At 42.0% G+C, this 16,742-nt stretch overlaps 1 long non-coding RNA gene across 1 annotated transcript; it reads right to left on the bottom strand.

Annotated features, from left to right (window-relative positions):
- Positions 1-1,390: 1,390 nt before the first annotated feature.
- On the bottom strand, positions 1,391-4,566 carry LOC124904907 (uncharacterized). The gene is made up of 2 exons (XR_007067594.1): positions 4,431-4,566; positions 1,391-1,532 (listed from the first exon to the last, which is right to left on the bottom strand). It is a non-coding gene; the product is annotated as an uncharacterized LOC124904907 (long non-coding RNA).
- Between the last annotated feature and the right edge of the window lie 12,176 nt (positions 4,567-16,742).

Here is a 16,742-nt window from a genome sequence, read left to right as displayed (position 1 = left end):
GTATACTAAAAACTGCTTTAAACTTTTTTTTATTTTTTCTTCTGTGCAAGGTTCCAGAGGAATGTGATCTGCCATCCTGACCATGCTAAGAGTGATTTTGGAAAAGTGTCTTTTCTTCTAGGGGCCTTATGGTTCATGTCATCTGTAAGCCAGTCTTGAGGCCAGGAGTCCGAGACCAGCCTGGCAAACACAGAGAAATCCCATCTCTACGAAAAATACAAAAATTAGCCAGGCATGGTAGTCTGCGATGACTAAGGTCCTTTGGCAACTTATGCTCTTTGGTTCACTTTAAACCAATCAACATTAGCCCTGAGGGACCTCTACTTACTGCTGGTTAATTCACTCCTTCACCATAGCAGATGTTGGCAGGGTCCCACCCACAACCCCTGGCCAGTACCCTTTCCTTGCTGCCCCAATGCTAATTGCCCTCATCTGCATGGCTAGGGCTTTCTTGGGGAGCAGGGCTGGAGGCAGAGATTTGACCTCTCAACCAGGAGCAACCTTTAAGCAAAAACCACCCCTAGCTGGAATGTAGATCACTCCGGTCCCCTCCCATCTTGGGTGGCACCCACGATAGCCCAGTGGGATTGACCTGCATTCAGCTGCCCACCATCGTAATGGGCTTGGCTCCTTTCCCTTCCTGCCTCACCCTCCTAGTCCCCTACCTGGCTGTCCTGGGATCACCTTTCAAATAAACTACGTGCTCTGGGATCCTTGTCTTGGGGTCTGCTTTTGAGCAACCAAAAGTAAGATAACCTGTATTCCTTATCTCCGCTCCCCTCAAATCTCCAACTCCCACCCCCTCCCATTCTCAGCTGTTGACCTTGCTTTTCATTTTGTAAAAGAGAAACAATCAGAAGAGAGCTTCCCATGCCCCCACCTCTAATCTGTCGATCTTCTCTCCTGTTACTGACCAATGTCTAAGGGGGTGCCCTAGGGGGCAGGTCTGAAAGGGGCATCAGAGTTATTTCTGTCCTGGAGTTAGGCAATTGAAAAAGGAGAGGCCACTGGGTCAGAGAAACAGCACAGGCAAAGCTTTCTGGTACCCTTGGCCCTGAGCAGGCCTGTGCACCGGTGATGAGAGGCAGAAGTGACAAGGAAGCCAGGCTTCCCCGACCACCTGCAGCCTGGCCCAGCCTCTTCTGTTGGCTGCCTGGGAGGGGAAGTCCTTTGTTGGGCAGGGTGCTGATACTAGCCCCAGTCCCTCACCCTGCCACCCCCTTATCAACACTGCAGGAGATACCTGAATCTGGTCTTTCAGTTACAACCACAATTGTATTAATAATAATAAATAAAATTATTATCAAATAATTAGCTTTTCTTCAGCACAAACTATGAGTTTGGCATATTAGTCTGCTCAGGCTGCCATAAGAGAATACCACAGACTGGGTGGCTTAAACAATAGAAATTTATTTCTGTCCTGGAGGCTGAAAGTCCAAGATCAGGAGTCAGCAGGGCTGGCGTCTGGTGAGGCCTCACTTCCTGGCTTGCAGATGGCCACCTTCTTGATGTGTCCTCACATGGCCTTTCCTCTGTGCACACAAGAAAGAGAGGGAAAGGTCATGGGGGGAAGAGCTATCTCAGTTGTCTCTTCTCTTCTTACAAGGACATCAATCCCATCTGATTAGCCCCGCCCCCACTTCCCTTATGACCTCGTTTAACCCTATGTATTAGTCTGTTCTCACTCTGCTAATAAAGACATACCCGAGGCTGGGTCATTTACAAAGAGAAGAGGTTTAATTGACTCAGTTCCAAATGGCTGGGGCCTCACAATCATGGCAGAAGGCTAATGAGGAGCAAAGTCATGTCTCACAAGGTGCCTGCAAGAGAGCCTGTGCAGGGGAATGCCCATTTATAAAACCATCAGATCTCATGAGACTTATTTGCTACCATGACAACAGTATGGGGAAAACTGCCCCCATGATTCAATTATCTCCCCCTGGCCCCACCCTTGACATGTGCAGATTATTACGATTCAAGGTGAGATTTTGGTGGGGACACAGCCAAACCATATCACCCTAATTACCTCCTTAAAGGCCCTATCTCCAAATACAGTCAAATTGAGAGGGCCTTAACATATGAATCTGGGGTGGGGTTGGAGGAGACACAGTTTTGTCTATAATTACATGGTTCTTTGTGTTTCACATGTATTAACTTTTTTTCGTATTCATGACAATGTCATAGGGTAGGCATTATTATTAACATAATTTTTTAAATGAGGAAATGTGGCACCAAAAAGCTTAGTATATTGCTGAAAATCACACAGCTAGTCAGGGTGGTGGGAGGATTTGAATCCAGGTACTCTGGCTTCAGAGCCTGTGCTCTTACCCACCCCTCCATTCCAGGCCAGGCAGCCCTGAGCTCAGATGGTAGAGCCGAGGCAGCAGTCACAGACCCCATGGTAAACTGGCCATGGAATCATAACCACAGGCTTGTTCCTCTCAGTTAACCTTCACAGCAGTTTGAGGAGTTGAGTGTTCATTGTGCCTATTTTATACATGAAGAAACTGAGGCTCTGAGAGTTAAGTAAGATGGCACAGGACTCTGACCAGGCCACACGTCACCCTGACTCTCTGCCCAGTTAAAATTAAGTGAATAAGGGATGGAATGAATGGATGAAAGTAGGACATTCCCTGCCCACTCAGTCTGATGTGGGAGTGGCAGAGGCTGTGTGTGGATGGGCCATGAGCTATGAAAACCTCCTTGATTTAAGACGAGAGACCAAGCCGGACGCAGTGGCTCACGCCTGTAATCCCAGCACTTTGGGAGGCCGAGGCGGGAGGATCACCTGAGGTCAGGAGTTCGAGACCAGCCTGACCAACATGGCAAACCCCTGTTTCTACTACAAATACAAAAATTAGCCAGGCTTGGTGGCACATGCCCGTAATCCCAGCTACTCGGGAGGCTGAGGCAGGAGAATCGCTTGAACCTGGGAGGCAGAGGTTGCAGTGAGCTGATATTGCACCATTGCACTCCAGCTTGGGCAACAAGAGCAAAACTCTGTCTCAAAAATAAATAAATAAATAAATAAATAAATAAATAAATAAATAAATAAGACAAGAGACTGAGTCAGGGTTTGAGGCTCTGAGACACTGAGGAGAGGCTCAGGGCAGAGGTGACTACGTGGGGCTGGGGACACAGGTTCTCTAACAGTTGAGGGTCAATCAGAGAAGGAGCTGCTTCTTCAGTGTTGACTCAGTCACCTCCAATACAGAGCAGGATCCTGGGTCACACAGGATGAGCTTTGGAATCATGGGGATCAGGGTTTCCTGCCTCTGTGTATGAATTTGGCCAAATCAATTACCCTCTCTAAATTTCAAGTTCCTCCTCTGTAAAATGGAGATGACAGTTGCCAGCCCTAAGGCTGCTATGAGGACAAAGTCAAGGGGCAGATGTGCAGTCACCTGGCAGGTGGCCTGTGTCCTCCCCATTGGTGGCTACTGTTGTCCAGTGGCCAGGCCAGGATGGCGAGGCCCAAGTGGGTTCAGAATGGGAGCCAGGCAGTGCTGGAACTGTGCCCCTTGGCAGGTGGGATAAGCCACGGGCAAGTCCAGAGCAACTTTCTCCCCCAATCAGGGTCTCAGTTTCTCCATGTATAACACATGGCCCCAAATCTCTTCCAAAGCTGACCTTTAGGAACTCAGTATTCACTGACACATCCGGCAAAGGAAAAGTCATGAGCCTCCCTGACCATAGGACCACCAAGAGGAGCCACAGAGAGAGGACATGGTCCGCCCAGTGTCCATCCACCACAGGTCAAGACCACACTGAACCACGATCATCTGCTTCCCAGATCCGGCTCTCAACACCAGGGCCCCAAGTGAAGAAAAGCATGCTGGGTTTAGAATCAGCACACAGCGGGCCAGTCCTGGATCTGCCACCTACATCCGTGGACTTTGGACAAGTCACCTCTTCCATTTCCTTATCTGTCAAATGGGAAGAATAACCCTTATCTCTTTTAGAAGAAAGTGTAGAAAATGTTGTTGGAGTAGAGAAGGATTTCTTAAACAATTCACAAAAAGCATAAACCACAGAGAAAAATTTGACTGCATTAAAACTTAAAATTTCTATGACCAAAAAGCACCAAAACCAAAATTAAGAGAGAGGCCACAGGCTTGGAGAAAATATTTACGATACATATAACTGATAAGGGATTAATATCTATAATACATAAAGAATTTTTACAATCCAATTTAAAAAGCAAACGGAAAAAGAGACAAAAACATCCACAAGCATTCACAGAAGAAACTCTAAAGCCCAATAAATTTATAAATACACGCTCAGCTTCACTGTTGACCAAGGAAATGCAAATTAAAGCAACCAAAAGACTATTTCATAAACATCAGAGTGGGGGAAAAAAATCTAACCAAATGTTGCAGAGGAGATGGGAAAGACAGGAACTTTTAGGAAGAGGGTGTTGATACTCTTACCTGGGAGAGCAATTTGGCAATATCTAGCAAAGCTGGAGAGGTTCATGCCCTGGGGCCTTCTGAGCCAACAGTTCCACTTTCAGATAAATATCCCAAAAGAGTAATTCCTATACATGGGCTCAGGATTTGCACTGCAGCACTGATGTTATTGGGAAGAGAAAGAGAACAGCCTAAATGCCTATCAGTAGGGGATTGGGTTAGTAAATTTTAAAACCTTCTTACACTAGAATACTAATTTAAGGCAAATGAACTAGATCTACTTGTAAAAAAGGTGAATGAATCTTTAAAGCACATGTCAAGTTACAGTAAGTTACAAAAGGACACATACACCATTATTGTACATAAATGTCAAAAGCCCACCTAACAAAGCTGTATATTTTTTGTGATCATGCACAGGGCAGTTAAGTTTTTAAACATGAGTAAGACATGTCCCTTTAAAACATGGGTAGTGACAGTAGTTATCTATGAGCATTGGGATAAGGAAGGCTCTGACTGTACTGATAATGTTTCATTTCTTTAAAAGAGTTTTTATTTAATTTTCTTTCTTTCTCAGAGTGGACATGAAGGGAGGGAGAGAGAGAGAAAGAAATGAGGACAAATCACAGCAAATGTAGCAACACAGTAACATCTGCTAATCCTTGGTGGTAGATTTGTAAGCATTATTTCATTATATTAATCTCTGAACATTTCTGGATGGTTATAATATTTCTGAATTTTAAATAAAAATTGCTGGGGTGATAGAAATGTTCTATGTTTTTATTGTGGTGATAGTTCTATGAATGTGGACATCTGTCAAAGCCCATTGAATTGGACACTTGAAATGGGTGCGCTTTATTTTATTTTATTTTAGAGTCAGAGGCCTACTCTGTTGCCCAGGTTGGAGTGCAGTGGCACGCTCTTGGCTCACTGCAGCCTCCGCCTCCCAGGTTCAAGTGATTCTCCTGCCACAGTCACCCGAGTAGCTGGGATTACAGGCATGTGCCACCACACCCAGCTAATTATTATTATTATTATTATTATTATTATTATTATTATTATTTTGTGTGTGCATTTTTAGTGGAGACGGGGTTTCACCATGTTGGCGCTGGTCTCGAACTCCTGACCTCAGGTGATCCACGCACCTCACCTTCCCAAAGTGCTGGGAATACAGGCATGAGCCACCATGCCCGGCCTGGTGCATTTGATCATTCATCAATTATACCCCAATAAAGTTGATTCTAAAAGAGGAAACAATTAAATGTGGCTCGTCACTGCTCAGCATCTCCAGTGGCACCTAGTTCCAGATGGAAGTAGACAGAGGGAGGGAGAGACGTCATAGGCTCTGCTTCAGTCTTGAGGGTCTGTCCCCCAAACTGAGGCCTTCAGGCTACCCAAGACCTCATGGCAAACAGGACACCCTTTGCTTTGGGGTCAAGAGTGGGCTGAGCTCTCCTCGCAGGGTTTGCTGAGTCTAATTTTAGAGCTTTGGAGGGTGGAGGAAGAGCTGGCTCTGCTTCTGCAATGAGTTCATCATGTTCCTTGGCACCTCAAAGTTCTCTCCATTTAATTTTTCAGAAGTACTAACAAATCAGGAAAGAAGTGTGCCCTGAAATTGCTATTTGGATGAACGTGACATTTGTAGGCCAGCGACAGAAGCTGGAGGAGCTGTTGTGTTTGCAACTCATAACCTCATCTCACAGCCCGACTCCCAAACAATGCACACACTTGTGGGGAGAGTAATTGCCTGGATGGAAAAATACAGCCAAACAGGCTCTCAATGAGGCAAGGAAGGAAAGCGGAAGGGAGACAGGAGGGAGGACAGGCACGCTGGCTAACATATACCAAATGCTTACTACGTGCCAGGCCCACTGTCATTTCTTCCTCAACATACATATTACCACCCCCGTTTTAGAGATGAGGAAACAAGCTCAGAAAGGGAATGTGTTATTTTGCCAAGAGCACAAAACTAACAAGTAGCAAGGATGGATCTGAACCAATCTGGTTGGTGTCAAATTCCTTGCCTATAGCAAGGAGAAGGAGCTCAGTAAACGTTTCTTCCTTTTTATCTTTCTGTACCTCCTTTTCTTCCTTCCTGAGGAAACTAAGGCCCAGAGAGGTTAAAGGATGTGCTGAAAGTTATCAAGCTGTCTTGGGGACAGAACCAGGACTGGCCAGGGTAACTAATTGGATGGCGAAGCTGAGGAAGATGGGAGAATCCAAAATGAGTCACGGGTTCCTGCCATGCACAGAGAGGAGAAGGCTTCGCAGGAAAGAGGCTGTCGCTGGGGAAGTGAAGGGAGGGTGTTAGATTGGAGGTAATCTTTGGAGTAACCAATAAAGATGTCCTGAGACGGCCGGGCGCGGTGGCTTACGCCTGTAATCCTAGCACTTTGGGAGGCAGAGGCGGGCAGATCATGAGGTCAGGAGATCGAGACCATCCTGGCTAACACAGTGAAACCCCGTCTCTACTAAAAATACAAAAAATTGGCCAGGCGCCTGTAGTCCCAGCTACTCTGGAGGCTGAGGCAGGAGAATGATGTGAACCCGGGAGGTGGAGCTTGCAGCGAGCCGAGATTGTGCCACTGCACTCTAGGCCTGGGCGACAGAGCGAGACTCCGTCTCAAAAAAAAAAAAAAGAAAGATGTCCTGAGACAACCAGGTTTCTGGCTCTAAATTTGTGGAGAGAAAAGTAGGCTACAAAGATGGGGAGACTTTCTTCTCAGAGCCTAGGAGGACCCCTCAATGCAAAAAGGAGTAAGGACTTCAGACCTCCTGACAGCCATGGGGTAAAGAGGGAATCACAGAAAACAGTATACAAACTAAAGAAGCATACTTGGCAGGCACAGTGGCTCACACCTATGATCCCAAAGTTTTGGGAGGCTTAGGCAGGAGGACCCCTTGAAGCCAGGAGTTTGAGACCAGCCTGGGCAATATAGCAAGACTCTGCATCTCCAAAAAATTTACAAATTAGCCAGGTGTAGTGGCACGCACCTGTAATCCTAGGTACTCGGGGGCTAAGCAGGAGGGCTGCTTGAACCCAAGAGTTCAAGGCTGCAGTGAGCTATGATTGTGCCACTGTACTCCAGCAACAGAGCAAGAGGAAGGAAAGAAGGAAGGAAGGAAGGAAGGAAGGAAGGAAGGAAGGAAGGAAGGAAGGAAGGAAGGAAGGAAGAGTCATGTGGAGACAGTCATGGAAAGGGCCGAGGGTCATTTTCACCTGCCCATGTCTTCAAGACATCAGTGAGTCACGTTGATATTCAAAATAGTGATCCTTAACAGCAAGAAAAAGTTAATGTTCAGTGCCTTACTGTAAATAAGGCAAGATGTCTAATTCCACTTTATATTGATTTCCATTCAATATCAAACCAAAATGGTGCTTAAGGTAGTAAGTTTTAGTTTCTAAGAACGTTCACCTGGAGAAATCTCCTTCAGGGAGAGACTGTATGGGACGAAATATCTCAGAACAATTTTTTCATTTGTTAACAATAGAACACTTTTTACAAATGTAACCTTACCCAGAGGTGGACTATATAAAGCACAAGCCTAGTCTTTCTGTTTCCACCTCCACAGTTCCTAGTGTTCCTTGGAACACAGTTTGAAAACCACTGAGCTGGCCGGACATGGTGGCTCACGCCTGTAATCCCAGCACTTTGGGAGGCCGAGGCGGGTGGATCACCTGAGGTCAGGAGATCAAGACCAGCCTGGCCAACTTGGTGAAACCCCGTCTCTACTAAAAATACAAAAATTAGCCAGGCGTGGTGGCAGGCACCTGTAGTCCCAGCTACGCAGGAGGCTGAGGCAGGAGAATCGCTTGAACTCAGGAGGTGGAGGTTCCAGTGAGCCAAGATCACGCCATTGCACTCCAGCCTGGGTGGCAGAGCAAGACTCTGTCTCAAAAAAAAAAAGAAAAGAAAACCACTGAACTTACCTAACAAGGCTATTTACAGATGGGCAAACTGAGACCCAAAGAAAGGAAGGAACTTTCCCAAGACTGCCCAGCAATATAGCAAAGCCCATGCTGAAGCTATGGTCTGGAGTCAGTTCCCAGACTTGGATTTCATGAAGTCTGAAACCTTAAAGGTAGGAAGAGTATATGACCTTATATTTTCATTCCCAGCAGAGAGAGATGAAGACCAGAGATGTTAAGTAACTTGTTCTGGTCACACAGCCAAGACAAGGATCACAGTGTTTTTTCCTCTGCATAACAAGAAAGTGGTCCATCCCACAGTGGAACGGAAAAAGGAGGCAGGCTGAAAATCCCAACCCAATGGTGAGCCAGTGCTTTTGTTATATTTCTCCTATTTCCAACAGAGACGAACACCACATTTATATATAGTTGAATTTATAATAACACCTGCTTTAAATGAGGGTGAGTTTTTGGCTTAAGAGTGAGCTAGTAAAAAATAATAATAAAAATTTAAAACCCTGGGTAGTTGTTCCAATTAAGTTCAATTAAACATGCCCTTAGGTAGAGTAGATACAGTAAGTGATGCCTTGTAGCATCCAATTTCTCTGACAAACGCACTCGCCAGCATAGAGCCAGGAGGTTATTATTTCGTTTTTTGAAAAGAAGTGCAGTGTAGTGGAAAAGACACAAAATTTAGAGTTGAACAAATCTAATCCACATCAACTCACTGCTATGGATGAGTGAAAGCCACTAGAAAATGGGCATAATAATTCCTATCTCAATAGGCTGCCAGAGGATTAAATGAGGTAATGTAAGGAAACGGTGATATGAAAATGTGCCGCAAAGAGTAATTACAGCTACTTTTGAAATATGGAATTGAATAACTAAATTATTTTGTGAGGTTTGCTCTAAAATTATCTGAAACATCCGAGGAAAGATGGTAAAGTAAATGCAGGCTCACTCAATGTCTCTCTCCCCAAATTGAATAGAATGACAACCACAAATAGACATACACTTTTAAATGACCAAGAATAGCAGTTCTGAAGCTAGCAACGGGGACGGCTATGCTTTGAAGGTATGTGTCCCTCCAGAATTCATGCAATGGGACTTAACCCCCAAAGTGATGGTATTAAGAGGTTGGGCCTTCGAGGGGTGATTAAGTCATGAGGGCTCCGCCATCATGAATGAAATTAGTACCCTTAGGAAAGGGCTCAAGGCAGCCAGGCGCGGTGGCTCACACCTGTAATCCCAGCACTTTGGGAGGCTGAGGCGGGGCAGATCACGAGGTCAGGAGATCGAAACCATCCTGGCTAACAGGGTGAAACCCCGTCTCTACTAAAAATACAAAAAATTAGCCAGGCGTGGTGGTGGGCGCCTGTAGTCCCAGCTACTCGGGAGGCTGGGGCAGGAGAATGGCGTGAACTCAGGAGGCAGAGCTTGCAGTGAGCCGAGATCGCACTACTGCACTCCGGCCTGGGCGACAGAGCGAGACTCTGTCTCAAAAAAAAAAAAAAAAAAGATTTCATCTCAGAAGAAGACATTTTAGAAACATTAAAAAAAAAATTAGACCACAGATGTATCATAGTCTCAAAAAAGCCAAAGATGAGATGAAAATTTAGCAGGATAAGATTGGAAGAATTGCAGAGCCAAGTTAATAAGTTGTGAACCAGAATAATTGGATTATGTTCTTATTAAATAGATAAGAAACAGCCAGGACAGAACTGACAACAGCAGGAATATAAAGAGGGAGAATTCAAGATAGGATAATAGAAAAATCACCCAAAATGCAAAGGAAAAAGGTCAAAGAGTCAGAAACAATTTAGAGCAGATGATTGTTATGTATGACACACAATGGAAGTAAACATAACGATAAGTAGCATCCTTAAAGGAGAGAACAGAAAAAATGTACCATGGAAATGATCCATCATATAATAAAGAAAAAATACTGAATGTGAAGATTGAAAAGTATATGGCTTTCAAAAAAACATTAGTAGAGAAAGATGAAAATCTAGATATATTGTGATAAAGATCTTCAACTTAAGGCATTTAAGAAGGATAATTATATAAGTGCCTCGCCAGTAATACCAAGTTACCAATTAAAGGGAGAATATCAGACTGCCCCCATTGATTTCTCCATATTAATATTTGATATCAGAAGACCAGCATAGCATCTGCAGAGGTTTGAGGGCATAAAAGTATGACTTAAAAACTTTATACCTAATAAACGGATGTGAGGTTTTTTATTTTTGTCATTGTTTTTAGCTTTTTTTCCTTCTAAAAAATTCATTGTATGTATTTAAGGTATAATAAAATGTTTTGATGTACATATACACAATGGAATAACTGCTACAGTCAAGCAAATTGTTAACATATCCATCATCTCACATAATCTTCCTTGTGTGCATAGAAGTACCTAAATTCAGGGACTGTAGGATTCATCAACATTTCTTTTAAAAAATGCTTTTCAATAATAAAACCCAGACCGGGCAAGGTGGCTCACACCTGTAATCCCAGCACTTTGGGAGGATGAGGCAGGTGGATCACCTGAGGTTGGGAGTTCAAGACCAGCCTGACCAACATGGAGAAACCCCGTCTCTACTAAAAATACAAAATCAGCCAGGCATGGAGGTGCATGTCTATAATCCCAGCTACTCGGGAGGCTGAGGCAGGAAAATTGCTTGAACCCAGGAGGCAGAGATTGCGGTTAGCCAAGATCACGCCATTGCACTCCACCCTGGGCAACAAGAGCAAAACTCCATCTCAAAAAAAAAAGAAAAAGAAAAAGAAAATAATAAAACCCAGAAAACCAAAAGATAATTCAAAATAAAGAAGTCAGGAATAGGAAAGCTATTGAAGGAAGGGTAAAGAAGAGGTTAAGAAGTGAATCTTGGGCCCAGCACAGTGGTTCATATCTGTAATCTCAGCACTCGGGGAGGCTGAGGTGGGAGGATCACTTGAGCCCAGGAGTTCAAGACCAGCCTAGGCAATATAGAGAAACTCAGTTTCCACAAAAAATTTAAAAATTAGCTGGGTGTGGTGGCGCATGCCTGTACCATCAGCTACTCAGGAGGCTGAGATGGGAGGACCACTTAAGCCACAGAAGTGGAGGCTGCAGTGAGCCATGACTGCAAGAATGCACTCCAGCCTGGGCGACAGAGTGAGACCCTATCTCGGGGGGAAAAAAAAGTGAATCTTGGATCCTTTTAAATATAAAATCAAGCCTCAAAAACTGTGAAATTTAATTTTAAGTCAAAATTATAACTCCTCAAAGAAAATCTATATTATGTAAAAATAAACAATTAAAATGGAATACCTACAATGGCCTGTGATAAAAATCTCAGATCATAACAAAGTTGAAATAAGGAGGAAGTATGAATCCACAGATCTTGTAATTTTTTATGGTAGAGACTCACTATACACTATTATACATTGTTTTGTATCTTGAGCTAAGAAATCAAGGAAGAGAGATAAATATATCTCTTTTTAGAAAGTAAAAACATGTGATAAACTATATCAGTAACTGGATAGTTAAGATGGGGGCAGGAGGGAGTGAGAGAAAAGGAAAGGATTGGGAAGGAATTTTAAAGAAATGATTTTTGGGAACCTGCCGGGCAAATATGAACTAAAAGAAATTAGGATTCATGACACTAATATCAACAAAGTTGAAATGAAACCAAAAAAATTATCAAATGAGACAAAGCATTACCCATGCTGATAAAGGATGTAAAACACAATGAGAATGATTGTCAATGACATCATTCCAGATAATGTAACATCAAAAGACATGAAGCAAAAACTCTTAGATAAATACAATGTGAAATCAGGAGAAACACAAGAATAGAAAACTTTAACTCCCTCCTCTCAGAAATAATTAAAGCTATAAATAATTTAAATAATATAATTAATGACATTGATCAAATATGTGTATATATAATATGTTAAACTCTGTCCACAGAAAACAGAGAATATTCCTTTTCTTCACATGCCAGTGGAATATTTGACATGTGCTAGGCTACAAAGGAAACCTAAAAAAATCTAAAAGATATAGTACATATCTTTTAGATTTGTATAGTAGATATAGTACAGTTCACAAGCTCTGAACTTCATGCAATAGAAGCATAAATTAATAGTAAAGGCAAACCAAAAAATAAAAATTCAGACATTTTCTCCCCACCAACAACTCCTGGCTGAAAGGACAAATAAACTGAAACAGTTAAAGCTGTATTCAGAAGAAAATTAATAGGCTTCAACAGTTACTTCCAAACAAACATTCACCAATATGTTCTCAGGTTTCAACAGTCTTTGACCAGAAAGTAATTTTAAGATCCAAATTACTATGACTCTTAGCCTTCCCAACCATAATCCATCCTTCTGCTAGGTTCCCCATAAAAACAATTCTGGGAACCCCTGAGGAATGTTTGATTCTGTTCCACAAGTTCCTTCTGATCATCATCATCTTCTCTCCCCTTCTCCCTTTCCCTCTCCCTCTCTCTCCTCTCCTTCCTCCCTGCTTCAGCCTTCCCTTCCTCCCTCCTCCCTCTCTCACACTTTTCTCTCCTTCCCTTCACCTCTCTTTCCCTTTTTTCCTCCCCCTCCTTCCCTTCCTCCCTTTTTCCCCCTTTCCTCCCTTCCTTTCTTTCTCTTTCTCTTTTTCCCTTTCTCTCCCTCCCTCCATCTTTCTTTCTTCTTCTTCCTCTTACTCCTCTTCCCTCCCTTCCTCCTCTGCCTTCCCTGCTGGTTAGCAACCACAAGAGAGCTTTATGTAATGATGGAATTGTCCTATGCCTTGATATGTGCTGATTATATATATATATCTGTCAAAACTCATAGAACTGTACACTCTCCAAATAAAGTCAATTTTACTGTATGGTAAAATACAATTTTAAAAATATAATTAAGGAATAAAAATAGTGTTCCAATGCATTTAGAAAGAAGAATTTTTTTGAATTTTAAATAAAGCAGGCATAAAAGTAGCACTAAAAGCTGAAAACAACAAGAAAAAAGCAAATTGATCCCAAACATTAAATAAAATATTAATGAATCACTTACAACAGTACATCATATAACTACCATAATATGTCCAAGCAGGGGTTTGCACCAAGACTACAAGGATGGTTCAATATTAGGAAATCTATAGATATGATTTACCATATCAATGGGTTAAAATAGAAAAATGACAAAGTCATCTCCTTCATGCCCTCCCAAAAGGTATTAGCTAAAATGAAATATCAATTTATAATGAAGTTAAAAATAATTTTGTAACTTTTGTAAGCTAAATATCTGGGTATTTAGCTATCTATAGATAACTACTGTATGGAGACATATTTATGTCTCCAATAACTAACATCTTACTCAAAACTTCAGCCATAGGAGCATTTCTTCTGATAAAACAGAATCAGGGCATCCACAAGTAAATAAGAAAATAATATAAGAGGGGCCAGGCATAGTGGCTCATACCTGTAATCCCAGCACTTTAGGAAGCCGAGGCAGGATGATCTCTTGAAGCCAGGAGTTCAAGATCAGCCTGGCCAACATAGCGACACCTCATCTCTACAGAAAAAATAAAATAAGATATAACTTTTGGAAAGAAGGCAGCAAAATATTTATATATTATATAATCACCTTCCCAAAAATCTAAGAGAGTCAACTGATAAACCATTAGAAATAAAATAATAATTCAATATAATATGATAATACAGGAATAACAATATAATAAGTTAGAAAATATATATACAATAGAATAGCTCACTAAAATGGCTTATTACAAAAATTTTAAATAATAGCTAATATTTGTTAAGGACTTACTATGTAACATGAACATTTCCATGAAATAGGTATTATTTTTATCCTTATGGTAAAAATGAGGACATAGGCTCAGAGAGGTGACGTCACCAGGCTGCATTCACACAGCTTTGAATATCAGAGCCAGGATGAAAACCCAGGTGGTCCTATTCCAAAGCCCATGTGTTTAACCACCAGAGACTACTTCCTCCCTCTATACTCTGACATATATAAGTAACAGCTAGTTAGAAAATATGATGGAATAAAAGATTCATTTCCCAATAGCAAAAAAAAAAAAAAAAAAAAACCCAGAAAATTCTTAGGGATGAACATAATAGGAAACGTGCAGAGCCTGTAATGCAGAGAAATGTAAAGCACGGCTTAGAAACTTAACATATAAGAAAAGACTGCATGAATACTGATAGGTACCTTGTATGTAGATCTAACACCATAAAAATATATATTCTCCTCAAAATAGTCTAAAATTTAATGCAATCCAAATTAAAATATCAAAAACACTTTTTCGGATTTTAACAAAAAATAATTCTAAATTCTGCCCCCAAAAATAAATGTATAATGCTGTAAAAATCCTTTAAAAAGAACATTAAAGGGGGATTTTCCTTACCAGATATTTAAAAATTACTGTAGTATTATAAAACTACAGTAATCAATAACATATTGTGTTGCCTAAAGAAACAGACAAATGAGGGAAACAGAATGGATAATCCAAATTACACCCAAGTGTATACCAAAGTTTAATTTGTAATAAAGGCAGAGTTCAAATTAGTCAGAAGTTTATGGATTATACAATAAAATATATAGGGGCTGGGCGCAGTGGCTCACGCCTGTAATCCCAAAATTTTGGGAGGCTGAGGTGGGTGAATCACTTGAGGTCAGGAGTTCAAGACCAGTGGGGCCAACGTGGTAAAACTCCATCTTTACTAAAAATACAAAAATTAGCTGGGCATGGTGGTGGGTGCTTGTAATCCCAGCTACTCACGAGGCTGAGGCAGGAGAATCACTTGAACCCTGGAGGTGGAGGTTGCAGTGAGGCGAGATTCCGCCACTACACTCCAGCTTGGGTGACAAAGTGAGACTTCATCCGAAAAAAAAAAAGATGTTGAGATAAATGGCTACACATTTGGGAGGAAAAAAAAATTCCAAACTTCCTTCAAATACCAAAATATATTCCAGAGAGATGAGCGAGGTATATATTTTCTGAATGTTTAAAATGGTAGGAAAAATATATCTATATAAAACTTGGGGAATATAAAACCCTAAATAAGAAGTCTTATTTTATTACATAAAAATGTTAAATGGTAACATATACCATAAGCAAAATCAAAAGATAATTGGTTGCAAGGAACCAAGATCCAACATCTCTACAGTACAAAGAACTCTCATATCAAGAAGAGAATAGCTCAACATAGTAGAAAAATGGGCAAAATAAATGAACAAGCCATTCAAATAAGAAACAACAAGAAAAGATACTCAACCTTGTTGATGATTAAGGAGTTCAAATGAGGCCGGGCATGGTGGCTCACATCTGTAATCCCAGCACTTCAGGAGGCCGAGGCAAGCAGATCACCTGAGGTCAGGAGTCTGATGCCAGCCCAGCCAACGTGATGAAACCCTATCTCTACCAAAAATACAAAAATTAGCCAGGTGTGGTGGCACATGGCTGTAATCGCAGCTACTTAGGAGGCTAAGGCATGAGGATCGCTTGAACCCGGGAGGCGGAGGTTGCAGTGAGCTGAGACTGCGCCCCTGCACTCTAGCCTGGGTGACAGAGTGAGACTCTGTCTCAGAAAAAGAAAAAAAGTTAAAATGACAACATTGATATTTTTGTTGAAACTGTAAGATTGGCCAAATTGAGTGATTGGAAATAATGCAGGAAGTGGGCTGGTGAAGGCACTAGTCAGTGGCAAGGACACAGGGCTGGAGGTGGGGGGTCATGCCAAAGTGTGAGGCCCATGGGCCTCATGGCCGAGGAGGCTGGCTGGGGCGGTGGTGTCGGGGGGGGCTTTGTGGAGGTGTGTGGGCTGACAGTCACAGCAGCCGCAGATGCAGGACGGTGAGAGGATGTTGCGATGGTGGAAGATAGGTTATATGAAACAAATAAGCAAAGCAATTGAATAAATTAGTACATATATTGGGGATAATGAGAGCCAAGATTCTCATTGCCTAAGATATTTACAAATGTAAAAGGAGAAGGCTAGAAATAACCTTGAGGTATTGGATTGGATTTGGAGGTTTTGGTATAAACTCATGATTCGTGTGTGTGTGCGTGTGTGTGTGTATGTACATATATATATAGAGAGAGAGACACACATGCAAATAATTTTTAGTTGAATAAGCAGGAGTATGTGTGTACACACATGTGCATGCACGCACACACACATATACCTACATCCCAGGTGTAATGAGTACACTGAGTGCCCAGATCTTGGTTGTAAATATCACCCTTCACTGAAATGAATCAGGGCTACTCCAAGAAATGACTAATGCCAAGGCTGAGGCAGAAAATGCATGATGACGAGATGAACCTAGAATATCTCATTATGCCAGAAAGTAAGGAAATGGTGAATGAAAGATGAAGTCATAGCAAAAGGACATGGCAGCCACTGTGTTCTTGAAGGGGTCCC

This window comes from Homo sapiens, chromosome 20 (genome assembly GCF_000001405.40).
Source record: "Homo sapiens chromosome 20, GRCh38.p14 Primary Assembly".
Lineage (NCBI taxonomy): Eukaryota > Metazoa > Chordata > Mammalia > Primates > Hominidae > Homo > Homo sapiens.
This window is presented reverse-complemented; position numbering and strand designations above follow the sequence as displayed.